A 15909-nucleotide genomic window follows, 5' to 3' on the forward strand; every position below is an offset into this window, starting at 1 on the left:
TTTTGGACTCACGTTTCAGGTGCATTTCAGATGTGTGTCAATCTTCCAAGTAACTGGTATATAGGGTTTCTGATCCTGGAGGTCAGAAGAGAGGTCTGGGTTGGAGACAGAAATGTGGGAGTTACCAGCATTTGTTGTTAATTTAAGTGATGAGAGAGGATAAGATGGCTGAAGATTGAGAAGGTAGTTTCAGATTGGGCCCAGAACATACCAATGGTTAGTAATCTGGTAGAGAAGGAGGCACCTGCAGAAACCCAAACCAATCAAACAGAAAGACTAAGCAGGACATGATAAGGCGGAAGGGAAACCAGGAGAGTACAGTGCTAGGGAAGCCATGGCCAGACAGTCTCACAGGAGGAAGTGAATACTTATGAATGCCATTGAGAAGTCAAGCAAATGTTAACTGTAAAGTCTCCTTGGATCTACTGACATGGAGGTCATTGGTGATCTTATCAAGAATAGATTGAGTGCAGTGGTTGGAGCAGAATCCAGAATGCGGGTGCGTGAAGAGTGAGTTGGAACTGAGGAAGTGGGAATGGTAAGGGTAGGTACATTTTCAGGTAGCTTGACTGGCAAGAGGAAGATGAAAGACTGAGAGGATAGAAGCTGGAGGGGGATGTGGAGTTGGTATGTTTTTTTTTAAGGTAGAGGATCTACATTGTTTACATGCTGGTAGGGAGATGCTGGTAAAAAGAGTGAGGCTGAGGATGTGGAAGAGAGAGTAAATTGGACAGGTTCCTGAAAAAGTGAAAGGACATGAGCTCTAAAGCATTGAAAGTGGCACTGTTCCTCCCATCAGGTAAGAGAGGAGGAGAAAATTGTGCTTTATATACCGGGGTTTGTAGATTTAGTGGTGAGAACTTGAGGTGGTTTTTCCTCTACTGTCTTACATTTTCTCTTTTATTAGAAGGCAGAGTCATTTACTGGAAGGAAGAGAAAAGAAAGGGATGTCTGAAATTTGAATACAGTAGAAAATGTTTCAAATTGTCTCATGGGAAAGTAAGTTAATTAGAGGAAAACACGGTTTTTGGGAAATGTTGAGGGCCTGGTTAAAATTGGAGGCATGAATTTATAGTGGTACCAATTCATGGTTTTTATTGATTTATTTTCCTGCCAGCTGCTCAAGACAGTGGGAGTGCATGGCCCAAGGGAGGCCAATGGAGTTCTTCTAGGATTAGAATTTTGCCTGGTGGCTAGAGTAAAGGACAAAGGGACAAGGTAGTTTACAATATTGGCAAGAGAGTGATGAGAAGATGGTCTATGGAACCTAATCTGGAATTCAGAGGGAAGGACAGGAACAGTCGGAAGAGTTGATACAGGGGAAGCAGAATCAGTGCACTAGAGTTCTTGAGAAGGTTGAGAAACAGGTATCCCAGGAGCAGATGAACAAAGAACAAGCAGGCTGGAAATTGTAGGAAATGGACATCCAAGAGCAGGATGTCTTCATTTAATACCTCAGAAGAAGAGCAATTCCAGATGTTGATACAGTAGGTGGTGTAACCAAGTTAAGAGTGGTAGAGGTGGAAGGAAGAGGAGGTCGTTGGAGTTGAGCAGCTCAAGAACCTGAGAAGTCCAAGCCCACTTGGACATCATGTCACCTCCAGTGGTGGTGGAAGTAGAAAGGAAGACTGAATTAGGTGCTGATATCTTCATCGAACAAGAAGACTTGCCTAGGAGGCTAGTAGATGATAACAAGTAAGGATGGTACAGCAATTGAGATTAGGAGGATTAGTGACTCTATCCCCAACCTCCTTTGGATATGTAGGTACTGGTGACACTTCCATTATTGCAGCCTGCTGCCACCATACTGTCCTTTTTCTAACAGGCTGCTAGATGGTTGACACAAACCAGAGAATCTGTAAATAGAAGGAAAAATGGAGGCTGAAGAAATTCTACTTTGATTTTTCTCCTTCTTCAATGTAAGCTTCCCTTAAAATAAAAAAATTGGAAGAGACCCAACCCAATCTGTAAGGTGCAGGACATTTTTGTGGATTATATTTTTTAAAAGTTCTGTGTAACTGAGTTTTATGAATTACATGATTACCTTTATCTGGAGGAAAATATCGCCTTTGAAATACAAGTCATGTCTTAATAGTGGAAAGAATGGATGCTTTATTCACTTGTCTCTAAACTCAAAACAGGTTTGTTTGGTTATTGTTTAGGCTGTTGGAGAGAAAGTAGTGAGAGATGCATTTCCGGAAGCCATTATCGTAAAGCCGTCGGACATCTTTGGAAGAGAGGATAGATTCCTTAATTCTTTTGCAAGTACGTATTCTTTCTTAATGGTAGAAGAGAGGGATACTGATTAACCAAGTTGAAGCTGCTCAAGCTAACAGTTTTCTCTGATTGACAGACTAAGGATATATTTTTTCTTTCCCAGTTGCCTTTTCCTCCCCTAAGTTTATATTTTCATAGTCAATGTAGTCTTTGTTATATTCCATATCAAAAGAAGCAACTTAGATTAATGGAAAGAGCATGAACTTGGGAGTCAGAGACTTGAGTTTAAGTCTTGGCCCAGCTAACTCTGTGACCTTGGCAAATATTCGAATATCACATGGAATAGTTTCTCTATCCTAAAATCCCCTGTGTTATATGTATTGATTCTTACCCTCCTACCCACCCCTAACCCCAGACAACCACTGATCTTTTTATTGTCTCTATAGTTTTGCCTTTTCCAGGATATTACATATATGGTTAGAATCATTGCAGTATGTAGCCTTTTTAGGTGGACTTCTTTCACTTAGCAATATGCATTTAAGGTTCTTTCATTTCTTTTCATAGCTTGATAGCTCATTTCTTTATATAGCTAAATAGTATTCCATTGTGTATATTCCATTGTATTGGATATTGGTTTATCCAATTTAGATGTTTCTATCTTGTTTTTCCCCCTGTTGCTTGTGTCCACCTAACATCTGTAATAATTTCTACTTAAAAAAAATTGTGGCAAAATATACATAGTATAAAATTTCCCATCTGCTATGGGCTAAATTGCGCCCCCTCATAATTCGTATGTTGAAGCCTTAACACCATTGTGAATTTATTTGGAGTTAGGACTTTTGGAGGAAATTGAGGTTAAATGAGGCCATAAGGGTGAGGTCGTAATTCAGTAGGATTGGTGACCTTATAAGAAGAGGCAAAAAGAGAGATCTCTCTCTCCCTGTGTGCACATACTGAGGAAAGGCCATATGTGAGGACACAGCAAGAAATCTGCTGTCTACAAGCCAGGAAGAGAGCCCTTATCAGGAACCAAACTGGCTGGCACTTTGATCTTGAATTTGCCAGCCTCCAGAACTGTGAGAAAATACATTTTTATTGTACAAGCCACCCAGTCTATGGTATTTTGTTATGGTAGCCTGAGCAGACCAAAATAGATTTTGGTACCAAGAAGTGGGGTGCTGCTGTAGCAAATACCTAAAAATGTGAACGTGCCTTTGGAACTATGTAAAGGTAGAGGCTAGAAGAGTTTTGAGGTACCTGGTAGAAATATGGACGTTAAGGGTGATTTTTGTAAGGTCTCAGATGGAAATGAGTAAGATGTCATTGGAAACTGGAGGAAAGGTGATCCATATAATAAAATGGCAAAGAAATTGGCTGATCTGTGTGTGTTCTAGTGGAAGGTAGAACTTGTGAGTGATGAAATTGTTTATTCAGCTGAGAAGATTTCTAAGTACAAAGTATTGAAGAAATGCCTTGGTTCCTCCCGACTGCTTACAACAGAATAGAAAAAGAGAGAAAGAGGAAATGAAGAAGGACTTGTTAAGCAAAAAGGAACCGGAACCTGAAGATTTGGAAAATTCTCAGCTTATCCATATTGCAAAAAATGAGAAAGCTTGTTTTGAAGAGAACACTAAGAGTGTGGCTGAACAACCATTTGATGAAGAGATTGTGGATGCGACTCACCAACTAACAAGCTATCTTGGCAGAAGCCAGGAATAGAGATGAGATTACATCAGCAAAGTCACCACCAGTTTGAACTAGAAGGGGCAGAATGAAAGAAGCCTGTCTGACTTCTGATATCCTACAGGACCAGACCACAGAGCTATTTGGCTGTGAATTTGAGCTATTCTTCAAGAAAAGGGAAGAATGACCCCAAAAGGGGTTCAGAGATGTTTAGAACTATCTCTTTGGTTTCAAAGGATGGGGCCATTGCCTCAGTTTAAACACCACATGGCCTTTGTCAGAGGCCTTGGAGGTGGGACCACCCAGAGTCTTGGAGGTACAGCTGCCTGATCCTTGGGGCTACAGCCCCCTGGAACCTTTGAGGTGTTGACCCTCTGCCCAGGAGAGCTATTGGGGTGGGGCTGCTGCCCCAGTAGGTCCTAGAAGTTAGAACTACCGCTTCAGTGGGTCCTGAAGGTGAGACCACCACCTCTGTGAATCTAGAAGGCAATGCATCTAGGCAAAGAAGATTATTGATTTTTAGTAGCCACCCTAATAGGTGGTGTTTCATTGTGTGTGTGTTTTTATTAGATTCTAAAATCTAATAGAATTTACCTTGCTAAGTTTTGGACTTACTTGGGAGTTGTTACCCTTTCTTTCTTACGTCTTCCTTTTAGAATAGGAATGTCTATCTTATGCCTGTCTCACGGCTGTATTTTGGAAGCACATAACTTGTCTGGTTTCACATGTTCATAGTTAGGAATTTTGCCTCAGGATGACCCACACCTTGAGTCTTACCTATATCTGATTTAGATAATATTTGGATGCGACTTTGGAGTTTAGAGTCTTGAGACTAAGACAAGATTAAGACCCTTTTAACTATTTGTAAGAGTACAGTTCAGTAGTATTAAGATATTTACATTGTTGTACAACCAATCCCCAGAACTTTTTCATCTTGTAAAACTGAAATTCTGTACCCCTTAAACAACTCTCTGTTCCCTCCTTCCCCCCAGCCCCTGGCAACTACCATTCTGCTTTTGGTTTCTATGAATTTGACCACCTCATATAAGTGGAATCATACAGTATTTGTCTTTTCGTAGCTGGCTTATTTGACTTAGCATAATATGCTCAAGGTGCATTCCTGTTGTACCACGTGATGTGATTTCCTTCCTACTGAAGGCTGAATAATATTCTGTGATATGTCTATACCACATTTTGTTTAATAAGCCATCCATCAATGGATACTTGGATTTCTTCCCACTTTTGGCTATTGTGAATAATGCTGCAATGACCATGGATGTACGAAATATCCCTGATTTCAGTTATTTGGTGTATGTACTGAGAAGTGGAATTCTGTAGCATATGGTATATCTATTTTTACTTTTTCGACAAGCCACCATAGTGTATTCCACAGTGGCTGCACCATTTTACATTGCCACCAACAGTGCACAAGGTTTCCACTTTCTCCAGATCTTTGTCAATATTTGTTATTTTCTGTTTTTTTTTTTTTTTATAATAGCCATCCTAATAGTTCTAAGGTGGTATTTCATTGTGTGTGGTTTTTTTGTTTTTGTTTTTGAGATTGGGTCTTGCTCTGTCACCTAGGCAGTGATACAATCACAGCTCACTGCAGCCTTGAACTCCTGGGCTCAGGGGATCCTCTTGCCTCAGTTTCCTACATAGGTGGGACTAGAGGTGTGTACCACCACACCTGGCTTAAAAAATATATATATTTTTGTAGAGACAGGTCTTGCTCTCTTGCCCGGGCTGGACTCAAACTCCTGGCCTCAAGCAGTCTTTTTGCCCCAGCCTCCCAAAGTTCTAGGATTATAGGCATGGGCCACCACGCCTGGCAACAATGTGGTTTTGATTTATGTTTTCCTAATGATTAGTGATGTTGAGCATCTTTTCATGTGCTTTTTGGCTACTTTATTATTTGGAGAAATGTCTGTTCATGTCCTTGGCTAATTTTTAAAATTGGGTTGTTTATTTTTTGTTATTGAGTTGTAGGAGTTTTTTTATTTATTCAGAACATTAAATACTTATCAGATATGTGATTTGTAAAATTTTCTCTCATTTTTTAGTTTGTCTCTTCACTCTGTTAATTGTGTTCTTTGATGCACAGAAGTTTTAATTTTGATGTAGTCAGGCTTATCTATTTTTACTTTTGTTGCCTGTGCTTTTAGTATTGTATCTAAGGAGTCGTTGCCAAGTCCAATGCCATGAAGCTTTCTCCTTTTGTTTTTGTCTAAGAGTTTTAGAGTTTTAGCTCTTAGGTTTAGGTCTTTGATCCATTTTGACTTAGTTTTTGTATATGGTATGAGGTAAGGGTCCAATTTTATTCTTTTGCATGTGGTTATCCAGTATGTTGAAAAGATTATCTTTCCCCATTGAATGGTCTTGGTGCTTTTGTCAGAAATCATTTGACCATATATGCAAGAGTTATTTTTCTCTATTCCATTGCTCTGTATGTTTTTCTTTACGCCACTGTTTTGATCACTACACTGTTTTGATTACTGTGCCTTTGTAGTAAGTTTTGAAATCAGAAAGTGTGTGAGACTTCCAAAAATTTGTTCTTTTTCAAGATTGTTTTGGCTATTTAAAGGAATCCCTTTAAATGTCATATGAATTTTAGGATGGAGTTTTCTATATTTTTGCAAAAATAAAAAGCCATTGGGATTTTGATAGGGATTGCATTAAATCTGAGATTGCTTTGGGTAGAATTGACATATGTCTTAGTCCATTTTGGGGTACAACAAACGTTGAGTAATTTATAAAGAAGAGAAATTTATTTCCAACAGTTCTGGAGGCTGGGAATCTCAAGATCCAGGTGCTGTCATCTGGTGAGGGCCTTCTTGCTGTGTGCTCACATGGTGGAAGGTGGAAGGGTGAAAGGGACAAATGCTATGTCCCCACATGGCAGAAGAGGAGAAGAGCAAGCTAGCTGAATGCTTCATGAAGCCTCCTTTATGAGGGCCTTAATCCTATTCATGAGGGAGCACCCTCATGGCCTAATTATCTCTTAGTTCCTATCACATTGGCAACATCTGAACTTTGGAGGGAACATATTTAAACCATAGCAACATCCTAACAATATTAAGTCTTCCATTCCATGAACTTGGGATGCCTTTCCATTTAATTGTGCCTTTAATTTCTTTCAGCAATGTTTTGTGGTTTTCAGCATATGTGTCTTTTGCCACTTTGATAAAGTTTATTTTTAAGTATTTTATTCTTTATTGTACTATTGTGAATAATTTCTACTCTTTTTTTTTTTTTTTTTGAGACAGAGTCGCACTCTGACACCCAGGCTGGAGTGCGGTGGCGTGATCTCGGCTCACTGCAACCTCTGCCTCCCAGGTTCAAGCGATTCTCTGGCCTCAGCCTCCCAAGTAGCTGGGACTACAGGTGTGTGCCACCACGCCCAGCTAATTTTTGTATTTTTAGTAGAGATGGGGTTTCACCACATTGGCCAGGCTGGTCTCAAACTCCTGACCTTGTGATCCGCCCATCTTGGCCTCCCAAAGTGCTGGGATTACAGGCATGAGCCACTGTGCCCGGCCTAATTTCTACTCTTAAATGGTTTAAAAAAAAAAGAAAAACAAACAAACAAAACAAAAAAAACTTTTTTAACCTAACATTTAAACTACTTGGGATTTGTTTTAGTTTATGGTGAGAACTAAGACATTATCTCACCTTTTTTTCAAATAGCAGAATAATTGTGCCAGCACCATATATCAACTAATATTTCCATCAGGCCCTTTTTCTGGGTTATCTGTGCTGTATCACTCATCTGTTGATACAGCAGCAGAACTCATCTAGATATTAACTAGATAGACAGCTCATCTGCCATATCAACAGATGAGTATCATAAGGAGGAAGAGTTCCATGTTTCTCCTTAGAATGGGTGCAGCTAGAGTCCAGTCTTGGTCGTAGCGATGCATTTAGCATTGCAGAGCAGACTAGTTGTCTAGACATTTGACCTCTTTTCTTTGCTCTTCATGGTTTTAAACATTTGGCCTTTTTATTTTCCGAGTTTATTATCTGAAAAACTAATGACTGCCTTTTGTAAGTGCATTCACTTCCTCAGAGTCAGCTACATTCATTATATTATTTCTATTATGCACAATAATTATGTTAATCTTAAGACTGTTGGATCTTACAGCAATTTAAGCCTTCTCAGTATAGTTCTCATTCTTTCTTCCGCTAGGTATGCATCGGTTTGGTCCTATACCCCTTGGTTCCTTGGGCTGGAAGACAGTTAAACAACCAGTATATGTAAGTACTTGGATGAAGGGGGTCAGAAAGGGATTTTTGATGAATTCAGATTTGAGTGATCAAGTTTCTGGTTTTGTCCTAATTTAGTAACTCTGTCATTTTCTTTGTCAACTTGTGTCAGCTAGCTGCCTCTTAGTTTACTTAAGAGGTACATGCCTTCTCTGTGTCTTCACTTGTTCATTTAAGAAAAAGTTATTGAACTCATAATGTGCTAGACACATCATACATGTCACATGTCACTAGGGAAATAAAGATATTAACTAGATAGACACAAATTGCTGTTCTCAAATTGCTTTCAGTCTGAGGCAGATAAATAAAGCAGTTATTGTACAACGTGATGAGTGCTATGATAAGGAGAGGGTTTTATGTAATTACATCAGAAGGGCACCTAATCTAGACTTGGGCATTTCAAAAGGAAGGGCATTTAGGGTAAAACCTTAAAGATGACTAAAGGTAAGCCTGATGAAAGGAGTTGGGGAAGAGTATTGCATGCAGAGGGAACAGTATATACAGGGGCCCAGAGGTGAAAGAGCATGTTGGATTCCATGTTAGATTGAACCAAGTTTTCTCAGTAGTGGCACTATTGACATTTTGAGCCAGATAATTCTTCGTTATGGGGGTTGTTAAAGGGTGTTGGGCAGCATTCCTGGCTTCTAGCCACTAGACGCCAGTCACACCACCCTTCAGTTGTGACAACTGAAAATGACTCTAGACAGTTGTCAAATGTCCCCTGGGGGCCAAAATCACTATTACTATTACTGTTTTTGAAAATCAAAATGGTAGAATATTAGCAATTCCATGTGGTTAAGCCTAATAGCTTGTGATGGTTAATAAGAGAGTTGGGAATGGTAAGAGATGAGCTTGGCAAGTTGTGGGCAAAAGCAAATCAGAGGGGCCTCAAGCTATCTGAAGGTAAGTGCATTCCTACTACAGAAAATACTTGGATGAGCCTTGGATTATGCGTACTTGGAAAATACTTGGATAGCGGTGATTATTTGAGCTCTTGAGAAGGCTCATTCTTTTAAGAAGCTTTCTGGGAATAGATAATGCCATTATTTTAACTTCACATTTTCTTTGTTGAGATCAGTGTGGCCTTCCTCCTTTCTCCTTCCTTCCTTCCTTCCTTTTTCTCTTCTTTCCTTTCTTTCTATCTCTCCATCTCCCATTCTGTCTCTTTTTCAACAATTACTTAGACATATATTATAATTTCTTACAGGTCGTAGATGTATCCAAAGGAATTGTTAATGCAGTTAAGGATCCTGATGCCAATGGGAAATCCTTTGCTTTCGTTGGGTAAGTGCTTAGAGTTTGAATTTTAAATTGTGCTATTATAATGAAGGAATCAATATCTAAATTAGTTACTAACAGATTTATTTGTTGCACTTTTACAATATCAAAATCTCCTCATTGCTTGCATTAAATCAGAATTTGAGGGAACCTGGAATCTACTTTAATGAATGATTCTTCTGTTACCAAGGTCTGAGAACCACTGCCCTAGACTATTACATATACTTAGTCCAGTGACCCTTAGGGATGGTTTTGTACTACTCCAGTGATGTTTTTAATATATAAAAGGATATTGCTGTAAATTCTAAAACACAAACAAAACACTTTTAGGGAGTAAGTATGGTTATAAAACCACATTAATTTTGATGGAGTATCACAATGCCTCCAGAGGCTGAAAAACGGGTGGTTTATAGCACAATTACTAGTGCTGTGCGAGATTGATTATTTCTTTTATGCTCTTTGCTAAAATTTGCTTTCAGAAAAAAGGGGTACAGTTAAGCTATGTGGCTTACCTGAAATTACTAAATCATGTGACAGCTAAGCTTAGGAATTTTTTTGCTGAATTAACTAAAAGTCAAAAACTAAGACTTCATTTGCCAAGTTGAGAGGTATCAAATTCACCTGGTAAGTGGTTCATAACCCTGTGATTCTGTGAAGCAAACTAGTGACACTTGACATCTATGAAAGTTAAGGATCTGGCTCAGTAATTAAGGGATAGCCTAATTCATAAGAAATGTTTGCCTCTAGAGGAAAATGACACTGTTCTCTTTAAGCCAAGAGGCATAGAATATACTCCCAGAATTCTGAATCTATACATTGTTATGTTCCACTATTATTATTTAATACATAATTTTTTTCAGTGTGAAAGTCTTGGTTTTCCATGTCAACTAGCAGCTGCAAAATATATTTCTCCTTTTCAGTTCCCAGTTTGGTACATTAGCATGCAATCAGTTATATAGTCTAGATAAGAATTACAATTCAATATATTCAATACAGGTTTCATAAAATACTACACAAAAGACATTAGTTCCAGTGAAGAGGTACATGGACTAGGATTTCAGGGAATAAATGAGCGGAAATGGCTTTGTGAACTTTACTTGCTCTAGCTCTGGATGAGTTGCACATTTTCCTTTTTACCTTTGCCCAGCCATTATCCTTTTGTCTGGGCTCCAGTAAGTCATTCTTGTTTGGCGTAACGATGGGAAAAATAATACTAGACATTGCAGTGTAGATATTTTTCCTCTTGAAATTGTAGATAGGTATCTACACATTTCTCATCTCTTCAGCCCCAGGAAAAAACTTTGCTTCTTTCTCTGATATTTTGAGGCTAAGGCAGTGGCATAAGACTATAATTTTCCTCCTAGGTTTTTTGTAATTATGAATTATATTATGTTGGTCCATTCTATTTGCCATTCATTCATAAAATACCTATTGATACACACTCATACAACATTACACACAACTGTGATGATGAATAAACACATTCAGCAAAATCACGATGTATAAGATCAGCATAGAAAAATCAATATATACTAGTAAATGAACAATGTGAAAATAAAATTAAGAAAAGAATTTTATTCACAGCAGCATAAAAAATAATAGAATATTTAAGTATAAATTTAACAATTAAATTTATTATATTATACCTAATAAGTAATGACATACCATGTTCATGGATTGAATGAGTCAGTATGATTAAAATGATAATTTCCTTCAAATTGATTGACAAATTCAACTTAATTCTATCGAAATTCCAACAGACTTTTTTGCAGAAGTTGATAAATTGATTCTAAATTTATATGGTAATGCAAAGACCCACAATAGACAAAACCATTAAGTTTCATAATTTCAAAACCTAATAGCTATAATTATCAAGATAGTATGGTACTGACATAAGAATTGACGTATAGATGAATTAACCAGAATTGATAGTTCAGAAATAAATCTTTATGGACAATTGATTTTTGAAAAAGGTGCTATGGCATTTCAAAGGGGAAAGGATAGTCTTTTCAACAAATGGTTTTGGGATATCCACATTAAAAAAAAGATGAACTTCGACTCCTACCTTGCTCTGTACATGAAAAAATTAAAATAATTCAGAGACTTCAGTGTAAGAGTTATAAAACAAGGATTGGTGGCAAGATGGCTGAATAGGAACAGCTGCAGTCTGCAGCTGCCAGCAAGATTGACACAGAAGGCGAGTGATTTCTGCATTTCCAACTGAGGTGCCTGGTTCATCTCATTGGGACTGGTTGGACGGTGGGTGCAGCCCAAGGAGGGTGAGCCAAAACAGGGTGGGGTGTCGCTTCACCCGGGAAGCATAAGGGGTCGGGGAACTCCCTCTCCTAGCCAAGGGAAGCCATTAGGGACTGTACCATGCACTCTGGCCCAGATACTGCGCTTTTCCCATGGTCTTTGCAATCCGCAGACCAGGAGATTCACTAAGGTGCCCATGCCACCAGGGCCCTGGTTTTCCAGCACCAAACTGGGCAGCCGTTTGGGCAGACACTGGGCTAGCCGCAGGAGTTTTTTTTCCATATCCCAGTGGCACCTGGAACGCCAGTGAGACAGAACCTTTCACTCCCCTGGAAAGTGGGCTGAAGCCAGGGAGCCAAGTGATCTGGCTCAGCGGGTCCCACCCCCACAGAGCCCAGCAAGCTAAGATCTACTGGCTTGAAATTCTCGCTCCTAGCTCAGCAGTCTGAGTTCAACCTGGGACGTATGAGCTTGGGAGGGAGGGGCGTCCACCATTGCTGAGATTTGAGTAGGTGGTTTTCCCCTCACAGTAAACAAAGCCACCAGGAAGTTCAAACTGGGCAGAGCCCACTGCAGCTCAGGAAGACACTGTGGCCAGACTGCCTCTCCAGATTCCCTCCTCTCTGGGCCAGGCATCTCTGAAAAAAAGGCAGTAGCCCAAGTCAGGGACTTATAGATAAAACCCCCACCATCCTGGGACAGAGCATCTGGGGGAAGGGGCAGTTGGGGGTGCAGCTTCAGCAGACTTTTAACATCCCTGCCTGGCAGCTCTGAAGAAAGCAGCAGATCTCCCAGCACAGCATTTGAGCTCTGATAAGGGACAGACTGCCTCCTCAAGTGGATCCCTGCCCCCGTGTATCCTGACTGGGAGATACATCCCTGTAGGGGCCAACAGACACCTCATACAAGGGAGATCTGGTTGGCATCTGGCAGGTGCCCCTCTGGGACGAAGCTTCCAGAGGAAGGAACAGGCAACAATCTTTGCTGTTCTGCAGCCTCTGCTAGTGATACCCAGGCAAACAGGGTCTGGTGTGGACCTCCAGCAGACCTGCAGCAGAGGGGCCTGTTAGAAGGAAAACTAACAAACAGAAAAGAATAGTATCAACATCAACAAAAAGGACGTCCACTCAGAGACCCCAGCCGAAGGTCACTGACTTCAAAGACCAAAGGTAGATAAATCCATGAAGATGGGGAGAAACTAGGGCAGAAAGGCTGAAAATTCCAAAAACCAGAAAGCCTCTTTTCCTCCAAAGGATTACAACTCCTTGCCAGCAAGGAAACAAAACTGGATGGAGAATGAGTTTGACGATTTGACAGAAGTAGGCATGTTCTAACCCAATGCAAGGAAGCTAAGAACCTTGAGAAAAGGTTAGATGAATTGCTAACTAGAATAACCAGTTTAGAGAACAACATAAATGACCTGATGGAGCTGAAAAACACAGCACGAGAACTTTGTGAAGCATACACAAGTATCAATAGCCGAATCGATCAGGTGGAAGAAAGCATATCAGAGATTGAAGATTAACTCAACGAAATAAAGTGAAAAGACAAGATAAGAGACAAAAGAGTGAAAAGAAATGAACAAAACTTCCAAGAAATATGGGCCTGTGTGAAAAGACCAAATCTACATTTGGTTGGTGTAACTGAAAGTGATGGGGAGAATGGAACCAGGAGCCAAGTTGGAAAACTCCAGGAGAACTTCCCCAACTAGCAAGGCAGGCCAACATTCAAATTCAGGAAATACAGAGAACACCACAAAGATACTCCTCGAGAAGAGCAACCACAAGACACATAATTGTCACATTCACCAAGGCTGAAATGAAGGAAAAAATATTAAGGGCAGCCAGAGAAAAAGGTCAGGTTACCCACAAAGGGAAGCCCATCAGACTAACAGTGGATCTCTCAGCAGAAACCCTACAAGCCAGAAGAGAATGGGGGCCAACATTCAACATTCTTAAAGAAAAGAATTTTCAACCTAGAATTTCACATCTGGCCAAACTAAGCTTCATAAGTGAAGGAGAAATAAAATCCTTTACAGACAAGCAAATGCTGAGAGATTGCATCACCACCAGGCCTGCCTTACAAGAGCTCCTGAAGGAAGCACTAAACATGGAAAGGATCAACTGATACCAGCCACTGCAAAAACATACCAAATTCTTAAGACCATTGACGCTATGAAGAAACTGCATCAACTAACGGGCAAAATAACCAGCTAGCATCATAATGGCAGGATCAAATTCACACATAACAATATTAACCTTAAATGGCTTCCTTGCATTGGCTAAATGCTCCAATTAAAAGACACAGACTGGCAAATTGGAGAAAGGGTCAAGACTCATCAGTTTGCTGTATTCAGGAGACCCATTTCACATGCAAAGACACACATAGGCTCAAAATAAAGGGATGGAGGAATATTTACCAAGCAAATGGAAAGCAAAAAAAGGCAGGAGTTGCAATCCTACTCTGATAAAACAGACTTTAAACCAACAAAGATCAAAAGAGACAAGGGCATTACATAATGGTAAAGGGATCAATGCAACAAGAAGAGCTAACTATCCTGAATATATATGCTCCCAATACAGGAGCACCCAGATTCAAAAAGCAAGTTCTTGGAGACCTACAAAGAGACTTAGACTCCCACACAATAATAGTGGGAGACTTTAACACCCCACTGTCAATATTAGAAAGATCAACGAGACAGAAAATTAACAAGGATATCCAGGACTTGAACTCAGCTCTGGACCAAGTGGACCTAATAGACGTCTACAGAACTCTCCACCCCAAATCAACAGAATATAATTTCTTCTCAGCACCACATTGCACTTCTTCTAAAATTGACCACATAATTGAAAGTAAAACAGTTCTCAGCAAATGCGAAAGAACAGAAATCATAACAGTCTCTCAGACCACAGGACAATCAAATTAGAACTCAGGATTAAGAAACTCACTCAAAACTGCACAACTACATGGAAACTGAACAACCTGCTCCTGAATGACTACGGGCTAAATAATGAAATGAAGGCAGAAATAAAGATGTTCTTTGAAACCGATGAGAACAAAGACACAACATTCCAGAATCTCTGGAGCACATTTAAAACAGTGTGTAGAGGGAAATTTATAGCACTAAATGCCCACAAGAGAAAGCAGGAATGATCTAAAATTGACACTCTAACATCACATTTAAAAGAACTAGAGAAGCAGGAACAAACAAATTTAAAAGCTAGCAGAAGGCAAGAAATAGCTAAGATCAGAGCAGAACCGAAGGAGATAGAGACAGGAAAAACCCTTCAAAAAATCAATGAATCCAGGAGCTGGTTTTTTTCAACAACATAGATAGACTGCTAGCCAGACTAATAAAGAAGAAAAGAGAGAAGAATCAAATAGATGCAATAAAAAATGATAAAGGGGATATCACCACTGATCCCACAGAAATACTAAGTACCATCAGAGAATACTATAAACACCTCTATACCAGTAAACTAGAAAATCTAGAAGAAATGGATAGGTTCCTGGACACATACCCCCTCCCAAGACTAAACCAGGAAGAAATTGAATCCCTTAATAGACCTATAACAAGTTCTGAAATTGAGGCAGCAATTAATAGCTTATCAACCAAAAAAAGTCCAGGACCAGATGGATTCACAGCTGAATTATTCCAGAGGTACAAAGAGGAGCTGGTACCATTCCTTCTGAAACTATTCCAATCAATAGAAAAAGAGGGAATCCTCCCTAATTCATTTTATGAGGCCAGCATCATCCTAATACCAAAACCTGGCAGAGACAGCAAAAAAAGAAAATTTCAGGCCAATGTCCCTGATGAACATTGAATCGAAAATCCTCAATAAAATCCAGCAGCACATCAAAAAACTTATCCAGCACGATAAAGTTGGCTTCATCCGGGGATAAAAGGCTGGTTCAACATATGCAAATCAATAAATGTAATCCATCACATAAACAGAACCAATGACAAAAACTACATGAATATTTCAATAGATGCAGAAGGCCTTCGACAAAATTCAACAGCCCTTCATGCTAAGAACCCTCAATAAACTAGGTGTTGATGGAATATATCTCAAAATAATAAGAGCTATTTATGACAAACCCACAGCCAATATCATACTGATTGGGCGAAAACTGGAAGCATTCCCTTTGAAAATCGGCACAAGACAAGGATGCCCTCTGTCACCACTCGTGTTCAACGTAGTGTTGGAA

At 39.6% G+C, this 15909-nt stretch overlaps 1 protein-coding gene across 1 annotated transcript in view; it reads left to right on the plus strand.

Moving 5' to 3' along the window:
* Positions 1-15909, plus strand: part of NDUFA9 (NADH:ubiquinone oxidoreductase subunit A9) — a 45204-nt gene that overhangs the window by 11257 nt on the left and 18038 nt on the right. The window contains exons 6-8 of the mRNA NM_005002.5: positions 2163-2265; positions 8087-8154; positions 9371-9447. Of these exons, the coding sequence (NP_004993.1) occupies positions 2163-2265; positions 8087-8154; positions 9371-9447 (248 nt within the window). The remainder of the gene's footprint in view (positions 1-2162; positions 2266-8086; positions 8155-9370; positions 9448-15909) is intronic.

Source organism: Homo sapiens, chromosome 12 (assembly GCF_000001405.40).
Source record: "Homo sapiens chromosome 12, GRCh38.p14 Primary Assembly".
Lineage (NCBI taxonomy): Eukaryota > Metazoa > Chordata > Mammalia > Primates > Hominidae > Homo > Homo sapiens.